At 40.1% G+C, this 17699-nt stretch overlaps 5 annotated features.

The window, feature by feature from the left end:
* Nucleotides 133-1332: an enhancer, noted in NCBI's record as "MED14-independent group 3 enhancer chr2:225084524-225085723 (GRCh37/hg19 assembly coordinates)". NCBI's record gives its function as "activates an origin of replication core promoter dependent on BRD2, BRD4, P300/CBP and CDK7 cofactors, and independent of MED14, by STARR-seq in HCT116 cells {active_cell/tissue: HCT116}" and the evidence as "EXISTENCE:reporter gene assay evidence [ECO:0000049][PMID:35650434]".
* Nucleotides 1005-1205: a silencer, noted in NCBI's record as "peak4049 fragment used in MPRA reporter construct". NCBI's record gives its function as "represses an SCP1 promoter by STARR-seq MPRAs in K562 erythroleukemia cells {active_cell/tissue: K562}" and the evidence as "EXISTENCE:reporter gene assay evidence [ECO:0000049][PMID:32103011]".
* Nucleotides 5518-6140: an enhancer, noted in NCBI's record as "OCT4-NANOG-H3K27ac hESC enhancer chr2:225089909-225090531 (GRCh37/hg19 assembly coordinates)". NCBI's record gives its function as "activates a minimal SCP1, AML or CMV promoter by ChIP-STARR-seq in primed H9 embryonic stem cells {active_cell/tissue: H9 hESC(primed)}" and the evidence as "EXISTENCE:reporter gene assay evidence [ECO:0000049][PMID:30033119]".
* Nucleotides 10505-11005: an enhancer, noted in NCBI's record as "OCT4-NANOG-H3K27ac-H3K4me1 hESC enhancer chr2:225094896-225095396 (GRCh37/hg19 assembly coordinates)". NCBI's record gives its function as "activates a minimal SCP1, AML or CMV promoter by ChIP-STARR-seq in primed H9 embryonic stem cells {active_cell/tissue: H9 hESC(primed)}" and the evidence as "EXISTENCE:reporter gene assay evidence [ECO:0000049][PMID:30033119]".
* Nucleotides 11006-11506: an enhancer, noted in NCBI's record as "OCT4-NANOG-H3K27ac-H3K4me1 hESC enhancer chr2:225095397-225095897 (GRCh37/hg19 assembly coordinates)". NCBI's record gives its function as "activates a minimal SCP1, AML or CMV promoter by ChIP-STARR-seq in primed H9 embryonic stem cells {active_cell/tissue: H9 hESC(primed)}" and the evidence as "EXISTENCE:reporter gene assay evidence [ECO:0000049][PMID:30033119]".

The raw sequence follows: 17699 nt of genomic DNA on the forward strand, positions 1-17699 counted from the left end.
TGAATTCATTTTGTTCTTTGTTTGTGTGTTTGTTTCCTCAGAGAAAGGAAGCCTATTTAATGCCATGTGAAGGCCTCACTCTTTCTTCCTAGTCTTGCTCTGGAATGATCTTTGTTAAACTAAAGACAGAGACCTTCCCTCATGGGCAAAAGCCAGCAGGAATGATGAATACCAATGATGCTGTGACTCCATAGTTTACAAATTTGAGGAAGAGCTTTGGTCCAGGGCAGGCTTGGGGAAGAAAAGTGACAACCACTCATCTAGGCAGATGCCCTGGGGTGCCGCTGGGGTGGCATGCCAGCATCCATGGTAAGGTAATTCCGAAGAACAGCAGGACTCATTCATTCATCCCACAGGCCTTCCCAGTCAGGGGAAACGACTTTCAGATGCATTTCCTGTTAGCCAAAAAAAAATCCCGTAGGGGCATTACCCAAATAGTATTTTTAAAATTCCTTTTTGTGTTTCCTCTAAAAGTACTTTCTTTTGCAAGAGATTTTCCGGATATGATATCATCCTAAATATTGTTTGACCAATTTCATCACCAATTACTTCAAATCTAGACAGTTTGTCCAGCTTTTACAAGGTAGTTAAGGTCACCCCAGGAACCAAAATAGTGATGACAGGAACACTTCGATTCCATGGCCAGTGGGAGTCATGTGCAACCTGTCTGCTGGATGAACATTTACTACATAACTCAGAGATAGAATTAACTGGCTCCGGAGTCATGAGGAACATGTATAAATAAAGCAGTTAAGAAAATTACAACTGGAAACTTGAAATAATGACTTGACTCACTAGTTCTTCCTGAGTTCTTAACAGTAAACTGCCCAGAATTGTTGCAGAGTTGACACCTCCAAAATTGTCATTTGGTTTCCTGAACACAGTTCAGAGTTCAGTACTTCCTACTTCCCTGTCTCAGTTTTTCCTCAATGATTCTCAACCAGAGGAAGCAATACCTCCTCAATCCCTGCTCCCGGGTTCCCCAAGGCGGGGTGTAGGTGCAGAAAAAAGTTAAATCCAGCTTTACACAGATTTGCTCTTCTATGAGATTCTTGCCTCAAAGATGAGAGAAAATGAGAGAGAATGTTGGCATCTTGTTGATGAGTCATTTGAGACAATGCTAAGTCATTCTTAGAAAAGCATAAGGAAATAGACATTCAATATTGAAGTTTGGAGTTGGAGACAGTTCCAGAACTTATTATGGAAATGGCATTTGCCGTAGATAAAATCTAATTGAGAAAGACAAGTCTCTAGAGAATCTTTTTGGTCCTGAGAAATTTGGGAGCTTCTATCAAAAGAGCAGGAGGTAGAGACTAGCACCTTTGGCCAGAGTGGCTGGTAATTGATGTCTGTGTCCCTGGTTTGAGAATCCCAGCTTTGTTCAAAGGAAACCCTGGCTGGCTCTGCCCACTCACTGGACTCAAGAGCCCTCAGCAGTCCATGGAGATGCCAGTTACAACCTTAACAGCATGAGGAGGAAGAGAAAAACCCCACTATCCACGGATAGTGAGGGAGTGGCTGCTGGAGACTTTGGGACCACCCAGCCTGGGAAACCTGGGAATCTGCCCTCTCCTGACCAGACCTAGACAACGTGGGCAAGATTATAAATGGCATAAGCATTTCACAGACCCAAGAAAAGCTGGGGAGGGGAACAATGAGTGAGATCTTGGCAATATTTTGGGTAAAACTGGGGCTAGCTCTACAGCTGCCAAGTGACCGTGATTGTGTGCATCAGAAGAATCCCACCCCACTGTGGATGAGAAGTTGATCTGGCTTTGGCAGCAGTCTCTTCATTGATCATCAGGACTGACCTGACCCACATGGCTGGCTCAGAGGAGGCCCTTTCCCTCCTAGACCAGCAGCCTCTCTTCTTTGACACTTTGTTCCCAACAGATACAACTTCTGTTACTAAACCTCCTGGGATATGAGGCCGTTCCTCCCACCTCCCCGCACCCACTTCCTACAGAAAACGGATCAGGATCAACCAGGCCTTTGAGCCACATTTCAACTCTAAACAGTGATTTGTTTTTACAATAAGGAGTGAGCCAGCACACGCTCCTTTGGAATTTGAAAGGAATTCCTTTGCCCAGAGGGGTGATGACTTGGGCATCAATTCGCACTTTCCTGGTAAATGCTCTCCTTAGGAAGTAACCCAGAAAAACCATGCTTAGTCATCAGCAATCACATGTATAAAAATCATGAACTTGTCTGAATCACCTTTCTGGTAAGGAAATAATCAACTAGAAGTCAGTTTGAGACAGTTGTTGAAGAATAGTAAGCAACCCTCACCTTCAAGTCAGCTGCTTCTTTTAATTAGTGACAGTAGAAAAGCATTAACAATTAAGGCTTAACTAAGAAAAACAAAAGAAAAAATAATAATGCAGTATCAGGGGGAGATGCAGAAAAAAAGGAAAAATGAACAAGATTATGAAAGCCTGCTGTTATTCATATATTTAAAAAATTCCACATTTTTATAAAGTTCAGTTTAGTAGTTTTTTTTTTTTTTTTTTTTGGAGTGTTTACTGTGTGCTAGACAATCTGCTAAGTTCAGGAGGTAGAAAGATGAATAAGACCAAGTATTTCTCCTAGAAAAACTGTGCTAAGCACATGGTAGACATTCAATAAATGTCAATTCTCTTTTTTCTGCTAGTGAGAAAAATTCCGTATTCATGAATATTTATTGTGATTGCTTAGCGATTTTTTAAAACAATCTGCTGTGGCAGAGAAGGCTAACTATCCTCCTAAATACATTCTCATCTTATTTGGGCACAGTAATAGACTACATTTCCCAGCCTCCTTTGCAAATAAATGTGACCGTGTGATTAAATTCTAGCCACTGCCGTGTGATCAGAAGTAATGAGTTGCTTCTGTGCTTAGGATTTGTAATATATGGTCATAGCTTCACCATGTTCACACTTTGGGCTACCATGGCATAAAAATAGATTGTTCTTTATCCTGAGGCCCTTCTCTGAAGAATTCTTAAACAGGGAGATAGGCATGATCAAATTCACTATGAGTAAAATCCTTCTGGTAGCTGGTAGGAGATGAGTTGCAGGACTGGCAAAGCCACAGGGCAAGCAGAGCAGTTTGCTGGCTATTGCAGGAATTCAGGGGGAAAATAACGGGGGCCTGAAGTAAACTGCCTCTGGGTATGAAGAAGAGAAAGCTAATTAAATATATTATTGTCAGTCCTCAGTTGCTAAAAGTTATTTGAAGGCAGATGGGGATGGGAAATGTAGTAGCTTTGTCTCGATCCCATAACTCACTGGACACAGCCAGGGAGAAAGACTCCCACCACTTTTTCCACTTCCTCCTCTTTCTCCAGCTTCTTCCTCCTCCCCAGCTCTGTTAATTTTCTATTTTTCAAACATCAGGATACACCCTTGAGTGCACATACAAGGAAGACAATGTTAGTGGAAACTCCAAATTATATGATCGCCCTCCACAGCTAAACCATAGTCCAATACCACTGCAAATTATTTATAAAAATGCCTTTAGTCAGCAATTCTATGATTAGCCTTTGGAAGGAATCTTGCTGGAGAAAAATACTTATCAACAGAAAGCTTGCAAAAGGAATACTTAGCAGAATGCTTTACACTAGATTGGTTAGACTAGAAGGCAGGAAAAAAGATGAGAAAAGTATTTTAACATAGAATTTATAACAATTTTTGTAATAAGAGGAAGATGTGCAATTTTCAATAAAGAACAAATTGCAAAAAGCTTACGCATCAGATTAATCAGGCACCAGAAAACTGCAAAAGTCTTGATGGTCTAAACCATTGCCAGGATACCGTAGAGATGCATTTACATACTTGATCTTAATTAGGTAACTTATATCTTCTCAATAGTCCACCATAGCAAAGCATGCTAACATTGTCAGTCTGAACCTCAGAATTTGAAATATCTTTTGACTTTGATTTTATAGATATATTTTTCCTTAATGAAACTGGGGAGGGAGAAGCTTTGCAAAAGTTCAGAAATATCTTGTTTCCCATTATTTAGCTTCAATGTCTTTCCTTTGACCTCACTTTCAGCTGTAAGATTACGGTACACCTTTAGCTACATATGAATATTCCTGGCACTTAATATTTGATTGATTTGTAAATCCTAAATTAACTATCTAAACTTTTAGGAAAAACTACAAGTCTTACTTTTTGACAAATTTGACTTGGGAAAGAGGAAACCATTTTGGCAGTCTGAGAGGTTCTAGCTTTGACTATAAGGAAAGGAAATTTTTTAAAAAATGCTTTTCTGTCTCTTGATGTTCTTAGTAGAGAGAAGAATGTTTATTCTTTGAAGATAAAATGTAGAGTCAGATTAAGAAGGGAAACATCTGCCAATAGAAACAGCAATGAGAATTAGTTATGTGTCGTGGAAAAAAATAAGATTTAGCCCAACTATGTTGATATTACTTAGTAAGATTGGACAACAGAATTGGCAACAATATTTCTTATTGAACTATTTTAAGGAAATCCTATGAAAGTAATTAAAAATAAAAACATTGAATTGCTTCAGCAGAGAGAGTGTGTATTTCTTTTCTTCTACCCTCAACATTTTGCAAATCTATAGTAAGAGCTTGGAAGAAGAATACAAAAAAAAAAAAAGCACCTCAATATGTGGAACAGATATGGAAGTTAACTGTGAAGCAAGGTTTTATATAGCAAACTTTTTCCCACTGACTTTCTTCTTAAAATGGAATATATTCTACTGCTTCAAAACAAAAATGACTTCCAGATGGAAATAAAAATTGAACCCAAGAATGCAACATCTTTTCTATAGCGTACATTTAAAGTAAATTAAATTGGCTATGTTACTCATATTAACACAAAAAATACACATGCCAAAAGTGAAAATTATAGAAATGTCAAGCCATTGTGAAAGGGAATAATGCCTTAATATGTGGCATTTCCAAGTATCTAAGTCTTCACAATATGCTCATAATTCCTACAGATTCAAGTCTATTCCACTTCAAGTTTCTTCTTTATGGTTTGTTTTTAAGCTTAGTGTCACTTACTAATCTCTATCAATTCAGTTTACACTGAATTTAGGAGTCATTGATCAGTAAATTACTTGAGATCAGTTATAACCACTAGGGGAACAATCCACTGTGCCATGATGGTTGTTCATACTTAAGTTGTGGTCGGCAAACCGTTTATTACCAGTCTTAGTAAAGAAACTAAGACTAGGCATCAAGAAACTTTTATCGCAATTTAATATTGCTATGATATCTAAGCATCCACTCTAAATAGGAATGTTTCATTCAGTTACAAATAGACCAAAATAATAAGCTGAAGATAGACGGGACTTCTTTTAAGTCTTTTACCACAAATAGATTGAGAAGTATTGGTCTACATTGATTTAGGAGATATAATCATCATCCAAGTGTGGGGACAGGAAGATGCCAGATGGGTAAAAGAGAAATATTTTGATCATCCCAAAGTTTATTTTTTAAAAAACTAAAAGTTTTCCAAAGAGCAAAGGGCACCACTAAAAGCATAATCCACCTTCTAAATATATAACTTGGGGTATAGTCAGGGGAAAGCCAGAGCCAAATTGTCAGTCTGGCAGATAATTTTCAAAATTTATTATTAATAATGAATAACACAATACATAGTCAATAAAATCACTCAAAATTATATTATCCAGAGATAATCCCTGTCAGGCCTCTGAGCCCAAGCTAAGCCATCATATCCCCTATGACCTGCACGTACACATCCAGGTCGCTGGTTCCTGCCTTAACTGATGACATTCCACCACAAAAGAAGTGAAAATGGCCTGTTCCTGCCTTAACTGATGACATTGTCTTGTGAAATTCCTTTTCCTGGCTCATCCTGGCTCAAAAGCTCCCCCACTGAGTACCTTGTGACCCCCACTCCTGCCCGCCAGAGAACAACCCCTTTTCCTTTACCTACCCAAATCCTATAAAATGGCTCCACCCCATCTCCCTTCGCTGACTCTCTTTTCAGACTCAGCCCACCTGCACCCAGGTGAAATAAACAGCTTTATTGCTCACACAAAGCCTGTTTGGTGGTCTCTTCACACGGACGCTCATGAAATTTGGTGCCGTGACTCAGATCGGGGGACCTCCCTTGGGAGATCAATCCCCTGTCCTCCTGTTCTTTGCTCCGTGAGAAAGATCCACCTACGACCTCAGGTCCTCAGACCAACCAGCCCAAGAAACATCTCACCAATTTCAAATCCAGTAAGCGGCCTCTTTTTACTCTCTTCTCCAACCTCCCTCACTATCCCTCAACCTCTTTCTCCTTTCAATCTTGGCACCACACTTCAACCTCTCCTTTCTCTTAATTTCAATTCCTTTCATTTTCTGGTAGAGACAAAGGAGACACGTTTTATCCCTGGACCCAAAACTCCAGCGCCGGTCACGGACTGGGGAAGGCAGCCTTCCCTTGGTGTTTAATCATTACAGGGACACCTCTCTGATTATTCACCCAGGTTTCAGTGGTGTCAGACCACGCAGGGACGCCTGCCTTGGTTCTTCACCATTAGCATCAAGTCCTGCTTTTCTGGGGAAGAGGCAAGTACCCCAACCCCTTCTCTCCGTGTCTCTACCCCTTCTCCACCTTTCTGGGGGGCAAGAAACCCCCATCCCCTTCTCCTTCACCCTTAGGGGCAAGTCCCACTTTTCTGGTGGAGGGACAAGTACCCCAACCCCTTATATCTCTGTGCCCCATCCCTTATTTCCATGCCCCAACCTCTTATATTTCTGTGCCCCGATCCCTCATTTCCATGCCCCGAACTTGTATCTCTGTGTCTCAACCCCTTTCGTGCTTTTCTGGAGGGTAAGAACCCCCAAACGCCTTCCCTCCGTGTCTCTACTCTCTTTTCTCTGGGCTTGCCTCCTTCACTACTGGCAACCTTCCACCCTCCATTCCTCCTTCTTCTCCCTTAGCCTGTGTTCTTAAGAACTTAAAACCTCTTCAACTCTCACCTGACCTAAAATCTAAGCATCTTATTTTCTTCTGCAATGCCGCTTGACCCCAGTACAAATGCGACAGTAGTTCCAAATAGCCAGAAAACAGCACTTTCAATTTTTCCATCCTGCAAGATCTAAATAATTCTTGTCGTAAAATAGGCAAACAGTCTGAGGTGCCTGATGTCCAGGCATTCTTTTACACATCGGTCCCTCCCTAGTCTCTGTGCCCAGTGCAACTCGTCCCAAATCTTCCTTCTTTCCCTCCCGCCTGTCCCCTCAGTCCCAATCCCAAGAGTCGCTGAGTCTTTCTAATCTTCCTTTTCTACAGACCCATCTGACCTCTCCCCTCCTCCCCAGGCTGCTCCTCGCCAGGCTGAGCTAGGTCCCAATTCTTCCTCAGCCTCCGCTCCTCCACCCTATAATCCTTTTATCACCTCCCCTCCTCACACCGGGTCCCACTTACAGTTTCATTCCATGACTAGCCCTCCCCCACCTGCCCAGCAATTTACTCTTAAAAGGGTGGCTGAAGCTAAAGGCATAGTCAAGGTTAATGCTCCTTTTTCTTTATCCCAAGTCAGATAGCATTTAGGCTCTTTTTCATCAAATATAAAAATCCAGCCCAATTCATGATTCCTTTGGCAGCAACCCTGAGACAATGCTTTACAGCCCTAGACCCTAAAAGGTCAAAAGGGTGTCTTATTCTCAAAATACATTTTATTACCCAATCTGCTCCCGACATTAAATAAAACTCCAAAAATTAAATTCCGGCCCTCAAACCCCACAACAGGATTTAATTAACCTCGCCTTCAAGATGTACAATAATAGAAAAAAGTTGCAATTCCTTGCCTCCACTGTGAGACAAACCCCAGCCACATCTCCAGCACACAAGAACTTCCAAACGCCTGAACCGCAGTGGCCAGGTATTCCTCCAGAGCCTCCTCTCCCAGGAGCTTGCTACAAGTGCCAGAAATCTGGCCACCAGGCCAAGGAATGCCTGCAGCCCAGGATTCCTCCTAAGCCATGTCCCATCTGTGCAGGACCCCATTGGAAATCGGACTGTCCAACTCACCTGGCAGCCACTCCCAGAGCCCCTGGAACTCTGGCCCAAGGCTCTCTGACTCCTTCCCAGATCTTCTTGGCTTAGCGGCTGAAGACTGACGCTGCCCGATCACCTCGGAAGCCCCCTAGACCATCACGGACGCTGAGCTTTGGGTAACTCTCACAGTGGAAGGTAAGTCCGTCCCCTTCTTAGTCAATACGGAGGCTACTCACTCCACATTACCTTCTTTTCAAGGGCCTGTTTCCCTTGCCTCCATAACTGTTGTGGGTATTGACAGCCAGGCTTCTAAACCTCTTAAAACTCCCCAACTCTGGTGCCAACTTAGACAATACTCTTTTAAGCACTCCTTTCAGTTATTCCCACCTGCCCAGTTCCCTTATTAGGCTGAGACACTTTAACTAAATTATCTGCTTCCCTGACTATTCCTGGATTACAGCTACATCTCATTGCTGCCCTTCTTCCCAATCCAAAGCCTCCTTTGTGTCTTCCTCTTCTATCCCCCCACCTTAACCCACAAGTATAAGATATCTCTACTCCCTCCTTGGCGACCGATAATGCACCCCTTACCATCTCATTAAAATCTAATCACCCTTACTCCGCCCAATGCCAAGATCCCATTCCACAGCATGCTTTAAAAGGATTAAAACCTGCTATCACTTGCCTGCTACAGCATGGCCTTTTAAAGCCTATAAACTCTCCTTACAATTCCCCCATTTTACCTTTCCTAGAACCAGAGAAGATTTACAGGTTAGTTCAGGATCTGCGCCTTATCAACCAAATTGTTTTGCCTATCCACCCCGTGGTGCCAAACCCATATACTCTCCTATCCTCAATACCTCCCTCTACAACCCATTATTCTGTTCTGGATCTCAAACATGCTTTCTTTACTATTCCTTTGCACCCTTCATCCCAGCCTCTCTTCGCTTTCACTTAGACTGACCCTGACACCCATTAGGCTCAGCAAATTACCTGGGCTGTACTGTTGCAAGGCTTCACAGACAGCCCCCATTACTTCAGTCAAGCCCAAATTTCATCCTCATCTGTTACCTATCTTGGCATAATTCTCATAAAAACACACCTGCTTTCCCTGCTGATCATGTCCGATTACTCTCCCAAACCTCAATCCCTTACAAAACAACAACTCCTTTCCTTCCTAGGCATGGTTAGTGCGGTCAGAATTTTTACACAAGAGCCAGGACCGCACCCTGTAGCCTTTCTGTCCAAACAACTTGACCTTACTGTTTTAGCCTAGCCCTCATGTCTCCGTGCAGCAGCTGCTGCCGCCCTAATACTTTTAGAGGCCCTCAAACTCACAAACTATGCTCAACTTACTCTCTACATTTCTCATAACTTCCAAAATCTATTTTCTTCCTCATACCTGATGCATATACATTCTGAGCCCCGGCTCCTTCAGCTGTACTCACTCTTTGTTAAGTCCCACAATTACCATTGTTCCTGGCCCGGACTTCAATCCGGCCTCCCACATTATTCCTGATACCACACCTGACCCCCATGACTGTATCTCTCTGATCCACCTGACGTTCACCCCATTTCCCCATATTTCCTTCTTTCCTGTTCCTCACCCTGATCACGCTTGATTTATTGATGGCGGTTCCACCAGGCCTAATCACCACACACCAGCAAAGGCAGGCTATGCTATAGTACAAGCCACTAGCCCGCCTCTTAGAACCTCTCATTTCCTTTCCATCGTGGAAATCTATCCTCAAGGAAATAACTTCTCAGTGTTCCATCTGCTATTCTACTACTCCTCAGGGATTATTCAGCCCCTTCCCTTCTCTACGCATCAAACTCGAGGATTTGCCCCCACCCAGGACTGGCAAATGAGCTTTACTCAACATGCCCCGAGTCAGATAACTAAAATACCTCTTAATCTAGGTAGACACTTTCACTGGATAGGTACAGGCCTTTCCTACAGGGTCTGAGAAGGCCACCACAGTCATTTCTTCCCTCCTGTCAGACATAATTCCTCAGTTTGGCCTTCCCACCTCTATACAGTCTGATAACAGACCAGCCTTTATTAGTCAAATCAGCCAGCAGTTTTTCAGGCTCTTAGTATTCAGTGAAACCTTTATATCCCTTATGGTCCTCCATCTTCAGGAAAAATAGAACAGACTAAAGGTCTTTTAAAAACGCACCTCACCAAGCTCAGCCACCAATGTAAAAAGGACTGGGCAATACTTTTACCACTTTCCCTTCTCAGAGTTCAGGCCTGTCCTCAGAATGCTACAAGGTACAGCCCATTTGAGCTCCTGTATAGACGCTCCTTTTTATTAGGCCCCAGTCTCATTCCAGACACCAGACCAACTTAGGCTGTGCCCCAGAAAAACTTGTCATCCCTACTATCTTCTATCTAGTCATACTCCTATTCACCGTTCTCAACTACTCATACAAGCCCTGCTCTTGTTTACACTGCCAGTTTACACTGTTTCTCCAAGCCATCACAGCTGATATCTCCAGGTGCTATCCCCAAACTGCCACTCTTAACTCTTGAAGTAAATAAATAATCTTTGCTGGCAGGACTATGCTGAATCTCCTTAGGCACTCTCTAATCAGATATCCTGAGTCGTCCCAATTCTTAGACCTTTTATACCTGTTTTTCTCCTTCTCTTATTCCATTTAGTTTTTCAATTCATACAAAACTGCATCCAGGCCATCACCAATAATTCTAAATGACAAATGTTCCATCTAACAACACCACAATATCACCCCTTACCACAAAATCTTCCTTCAGCTTAATCTCTCCCACTCTAGGTTGCCATGCCACCCCTAATCCCGCTCAAAGCAGCCCTGAGAAACAGCGCCCATTATCTCTCCATCCCATCCCCCAAAATTTTCACTGTCCCAACACTTTACCACTATTTCATTTTATTTTTGTTGTTAATATAAGAAGACAGGAATGTCAGGCCTCTGAGCCCAAGCTAAGCCATCATATCCCCTGTGACCTGCACGTACACATCCAGATCGCTGGTTCCTGCCTTAACTGATGACATTCCACCACAAAAGAAGTGAAAATGGCCTGTTCCTGCCTTAACTGATGATGTTGTCTTGTGAAATTCCTTCTCCTGGCTCATCCTGGCTCAAAAGCTCCCCCACTGAGTACCTTGTGACCCCCCACTCCTGCCCGCCAGAGAACAACCCCCCTTATTCCTTTACCTACCCAAATCCTATAAAACGGCCCTACCCCATCTCCCTTCGCTGACTTTCTTTTCGGACTCAGCCCGCCTGCACCCAGGTGATTAAAAGCTTTATTGCTCACACAAAGCCTGTTTGGTGGTCTCTTCACACAGATGTGCATGAAAATCCCACAATATTTTGGGAATACTTTCCTCAATTATTTCTCATATCACACAGTTCACTTAATTGATCATAATTATTCTCAAATTCAATAAATATACTTCTCCATCAACATTGTTAATAACTGCAGAATATTCCATTTTATTAATATTCTATAATTATTTAAACAATCTGCTATTTTTAAGTATTTAGATTATTTAGGTTAATTATATATAACACCATATATCTTTTTCCATTCTTTACTTTTAACCTATTTGTGTCCTTATATTTAAAGTATGTTTCACATATGCAGCACATAGTTGGGTCTTACTTTTTTTTTCTACTTTTATTTTAGGTTTGGGGGTACATCTGCAGATTTGCTATATAGGTAAATTGCATATCGCTAAGGCTTGATGTACAAATGATCCCATCACTAATGTAGTAAGCATAGTACCTGGTAGGTAGTTTTCAAATTCATGTCTTCTTCCCACCCTCCACCCACAAGCAGTCCTCAATGCCTATTGTTCCCATCTTTGTGCCCGTGTGTATTCAATATTTACCTCTCACTTGTAAGTGAGAACATTGCAGTATTTGGCTTTCTGTTCCTGCATTTGTTTGCTTAGGATAATGGCCTCCAGCTGCATCCAAGTTGCTGCAAAGGGCATGATTTTATTCTTTTTTATGGCTGCATAGTATTCCATGGTGTTTATGTACCAAATTATCTTTATTCTGTCCACCATTGATGGGCATCTTGCTTGATTTCATGTTCAATGAACATGCAAGTGCATGTGTCTTTCTGGTATTAATTTTCCTTTGGGTATGTACCAATAGTGAGATTGCTAGGTCAAGTGGTAGTTCTAAGTTCTTTGAGAAATCTCCATTCTGCTTTCCACAGTGGCTAAACTCATTTACATTCCCAACAGTAGCGTATACGTGTTCCCTTTTCTTTGCAGCTTCACCAGCATTTGTTGTTTTTTGAATTTTTAATAATAGCCTTTCAATTGATGTGAGATGGCATCCCATTGTGGTTTTTATCTGCATTTCTCTAATAAGTAGGGATGATGAGCATTTTTCATATATTTTTTGGCAGCATGTATCTCTTCTTTGAGAAATGTCTGTTTATGCTCTTTGCCCATTTTTTAAATGGAGTTATTTGGTTTTTGCTTGCTGATTTAAGGTTCTTTTAGATTGTGGATATTACATCTTTGATGAATGTATAGTTTGCAAATATTTACTCCCATTCTGTAGGTTGTCTGTCTGCTCTCTTGATAGTTTATTTTTCTATGCAGAAGTTCTCTAGTTTAATTATGTCCCACTTGTCAATTTTTGTTTTTGTTGCAGTTGCTTTTGGGGACTTAGTCATAAATTATTTACCAAGGCCAATGTCCAGAATGGTATTTCCTAGGTTTTCTTCTAGGGTTTTTATTGTTTTACATCTTACATTTAAGTCTTTAATCCATCTTGAGTTAATTTTTTTATACGGTGTAGGGAAGGGGTCCAGTTTCAATCTTCTGTATACGACTAGCCAGTTATCCTAGCACCATTTATTGAATCCTTTCCCCAATGCTTGTTATTGTTGACTTTGTCAAAGATCAGCCAGTTAGAGGTGTGTGACTTTCTGTTTTCTCTGTCTTGTTCTATTGGTCTGTTTTTGTACTAGTACCATGATGTTTTGGTTATTGTAGCCTTGTAGTATAGTTTGAAATCAGGTAGTGTGGTGGCTCCAAATTTTTTATTTTTGCTTAGGATTGCCTTGGATATTTGGGCTTTTTTGGTTCCATTAAAATTTTAGAATAGTTTTATCTAATTCTATGAATATGTCATTGGTAGTTTGATGGGAATAGCATTGAATCTTTAAATTGCTTTGAGTAGTATGGCCATTTTAACAACATTGATTTTTTCGATGAATGAACATGGAATATTTTTCCATTTATTCATGTCATCCCAGATTTCTTTCAGTATGTTTTATAATTCTCATTGTAGAGATCTTTCACCTCCTTGGTAAGCTGTATTCCTAGGTATTTTATATTTTTGTGGCTACTGTGAATGGGTTAGCATTCTTGATTTGGCTCTGAGCTTGAATGTCATTGGTGTATAGAAATCCTACTGATTGGGCCGGGCACAGTGGCTCATACCTATAATCCCAGCACTTTGGGAGGCCAAAGGGGGCAGATCACCTGAGGTCAGAAGTTCGAGACCAGCCTGACCAACATGGAGAAACCCCGTCTCTACTAAAAAGACAGAAAAAAAATAGCCAGGCATGGTGGCACATGCCTGTAATCCCACCTACTTGGGAGGATGAAGCAGAAGAATCCCTTGAACCCAGGAGGCGGAGGTTGCAGTGAGCCGAGATCTCGCCATTGCACTCCAGCCTGGGCAACAGAGTGAAACTCCATCTCAAAAAAGAAAGAAAAGAAAAGAAAAAAAAGAAATCCTACTGATTTTTACATATTGATTGTGTATCCAGAAATTTTACTGAAGTTGTTTATCAGTTTTATAAGCTTTCTGGTGGAGTCTGCAGGGTTTTCTAGGTATAGAATCATATCATCTGCAAAGATAGTTTGACTTCCTCTCTTCCTACTTGGATGCCTTTCATTTCTTTCTTTTGTCTGTTCTGGCTAGGACTTTCAAGTACTATGTTGAATAGGAGTGGTGAGAAAGGGCATCCTTGTCTTGTTCCAGTTCTCAAAGGGAATGCTTCCAGCTTTTGCCATTCCCCCAGTATTATTTTACATCTCATAATAGTCTCTGAGTATGATGTTAGCTGTGGGTTTGTCATAGATGGCTCTTACTATTTTGAGGTATGTTCCTTTGATGCCTAATTTGTTGAGGGTTTTTAACATAAATGGATGTTGAATTTTATTGAAAGCCTTTTTGCATCTTTTGAGATGATCATGTGATCTTTGTTTTTAATTCTCTTTATATGGTGAATCACACTGGTTTGTGTGTGTCGAACCAACCTTGCATCCCAGGGATAAAGCCTACTTGATTGTGGTGAATTAACTATTTGATATGCTGCTGGATTTGGTTTGCTAGTATTTTGTTAAAGATTTTTGCATCTATGTTCATCAGAGATATTGGCCTGAAGGTTTCTTTTTTCGTTATGTCTCTACCAAGCTTTGGTATTAGAATGATGCTGGCTTCATAGAATAAGTTAGGGAAGAGTTCTTCCCCCTCAATTTTTTTGAATAGTTTTAGTAGGATTGGTACTAGCTCCTTGTATGTCTGGCAGAATTCAGTTGTGAATCCGTCTGGCTCAGGGCTTTTTTGTTTGGTAGGCCTTTTATTACAGATTCAGTTTCAAAATTTACTATTGATCTGTTCAGGATTTTAATTTCTTCCTGGTTCGATCTTGGGAGACTGTGTGTTTACAGAAATTTGTCCATTTCTTTTAGGTGTTCTAGTTTGTGTGCATAGGGGTGTTTATAATAATCTCTGAGGATCTTTTGTATTTTTGGGGGGTCAGTTGTAAAGTTGTCTTTGCCATTTCTGATAGTGTTTATGTAGATCTCCTCTGTTTTTTCTTTATTAATATAGCTAGTGGTCTATCAATGTTGTTTACTCTTTTGAATGGCTAACTTTTGGTTTTGTTGAGCTTTTGTATCTATTTTTACATCTCAGTTTCATTCAGTTTAGTTATGATTTTTTTTTTTCTGCTGCTAGTTTTGGGATTGGTTTGCTCTTGGTTTGCTAGTTACTCTAGGTGTGATGTTAGGTTGCTAATTTGAGATCTTTCTAACTTCTTGATGTAAGTGTTTAGCACTATAAACTTTCCTCTTAGCACCATTTTAGTCGTGTCCCAAAGATTCTGGTATGTTGTGTGTCTGTTTTCATTAGATTCAAAGAATTTTTTAAAATTCTGCCTTAATTGTATTCTGAAAAGTCATTCAGGAGCAAGTTGTTTAACTTCCATGTTATTGTATGGTTTTGATGGATCTTCTTGCTATTGATTTCTATTTTTCTTGTGCCATGGTCTGAGAGTGTGTTTGATACGATTTCTGTTTTTTTGAATTTGTTTAGACTTGCTTTGTAAACAAACTTGTGGTCAGTCTTAGAGTATGTGCTGTGTGCAAATGAGGAGGATGTATATTTTGTTGTGGGGTGGAGTGCTCTGTAGATGTCTATTAGGTTCAATTGGTCATGTCAACTTTAAGCTTAGAATATCTTTGTTAGTTTTCTGCCTCAATGGTCTGTCTAACACTGTCAGTGCAGTGTCAAAGTCCTGCAGTATTATTGTGCGGTTGACTAAATCTCTTCATAAATCTCTAAGAACTTGTTTTATAAATCTGGGTGCTGCAATGTTGGGTACATATATATTTAGAATCATTAAGTGTTCTTGTTGGACTAAGTTGGGCCTTACTTTTTAATCCTATCTGACAATCTCTGCCTCTTCATTCTGGTGCTATACCACCTACATTTAATATTATGATTGATATAGTTGAGGTTTGAATCTACCATCTTGCACTTGTTTTCTATTTTTTCCTTCTGTCATTTTTCCTCTTTTTCCTCTCTTCTATTGCACTCATTATTTCTAACGATTCAATTTAATCCCCTTTGTTGGCTTATTAGCTGTAACTTTCTTGTGTTGTTACAGTAATTGTTTTAAGATTTATAGTATACGTCCTTTACTTCACATATTGTATGAGAAATTTAGAATATTTCTCCCCTCCTGGCCTTTGTGCTATCTTTGTCATACATTTTTCTCCTATGTATATAACATATAACAGCTTCACATATATTGTTATTATTTTATTATTTTTTCTCTAGACAGTTATTTTTATTTATTTTTTATTTTTTGAGATGGAGTCTCGCTCCCTCCCCAGGCTGGAGTGCAGTGGCGCCATCTTGTCTCACTGCAACCTCCGCCTCCCGGGTTCAAGCGATTCTCCTGCCTCAGCCTCTCAAGTAGCTGGAATTATAGGCAGGCGCCACCATGCCTGGCTAATTTTTGTATTTTTAGTAGAGATGGGGTTTCACCATGTTGGCCAGGATGGTCTCAATCTCTTGATCTTGTGATCCATCCGCCTCGGCCTCCCAAAGCTCTGGGATTATAGGCATGAGCCATGCGCCCAGCCAACAATTATCTTTTAAAAAGTCTTCAATAATTTAAAAATGACTTTCATCTTCATTCTCATAAATATTGGATTTAGTGTTCTTTTGTTACCATTTTTAGTGTTCTTTGTTTACATTTTTTTATTCAGATCAGATTTTCATTTGGTATCATTTTTATTCTGCGTGAAGGATTGCTTCAACATTTATTTATTGTTGGTCTGCTGGTGATTACTTCTTTCAGTTTTTGTGTCTTAAGATGTTTTTGTTTTGCCTTGATTTTTGGAAGATAATTTCACTGGGTACAGAATTCTAAGTTGACATACTTTTTTCTTTCAGTACATTAAACAAAGTGCACTGTCTTCTGGTTTGAATTGTTTCTGGTGAGAATTTGCCATCATCCTTAACCTTGTTTCTGTTTCTGTTATGTATCTTTTTTCCTCTGGCTGCTGTTAAGATTTATCTTTCTCACTAGTGTTCAGCAATATGGTTATGATGTACCTTACATTTTTCTTCAAGTTATTTTCCTGGGGTTTGCTGAACTTCTCAAATATACATATTTATGGTTTATAACAAATTTGAAAAGTTTTCAGCCATTACTTTTCAAATATTTTTTCTGTGCTCCTCTGTCTCCCACACGGACTCTAATTGTATGTGTGTGTGTATATATATATGTATACACATATGTATATATACACACATATGTATATATATACACACATGTGTATATATACATATGTGTATATATACACATGTGTGTATATATATACATATGTATATATGTATGTATGTGTATATATATACACACACACTTAAACATGTCCCATAGTTCACTTAGACTCTCTTTCATTACATTTTTTTTTCTTATCTCTGTGTTTCATTTGGATAGTTTCTTTGCTATGTTTTCAAATTTACTAATTATTTTAGTCAGCCCAGGTTACTAGGTGGCTTAAACCACAGACATGTATTTCTCACAGTTTTGGAGGCTGGGAAGCCAACTCAGTTCCTGATGGAGGCCCTCTTCCTGGCTTGCAAACAGCTATCTTCTCACTGTATCCACACATGGCAAAGAGCAAGTAATCGCCCTCTCTTCCTCTTCTCATAAGGGTACTAATCACATCATGAAGCCCCAATCCTCATGACTTTATTTAACTCTAATTATCTTCCAAAGGCCTCTTCTCTAAATACCATTACATTCTGGGTGAGCGTTTTGATATATGAATTGAGGTGGAAGGACACAATTCAGTTTATAGCAGTAATCTTTTCTTGGGCAATATCTAATCTGCTATGAACCCCATCTAGTAGGCTTTTTACCCCAGATATTGTAGTTTCCATTTCTAGAAGTTTGATTTTTATGTTTTT

This window comes from Homo sapiens, chromosome 2, assembly GCF_000001405.40.
Source record: "Homo sapiens chromosome 2, GRCh38.p14 Primary Assembly".
NCBI lineage: Eukaryota > Metazoa > Chordata > Mammalia > Primates > Hominidae > Homo > Homo sapiens.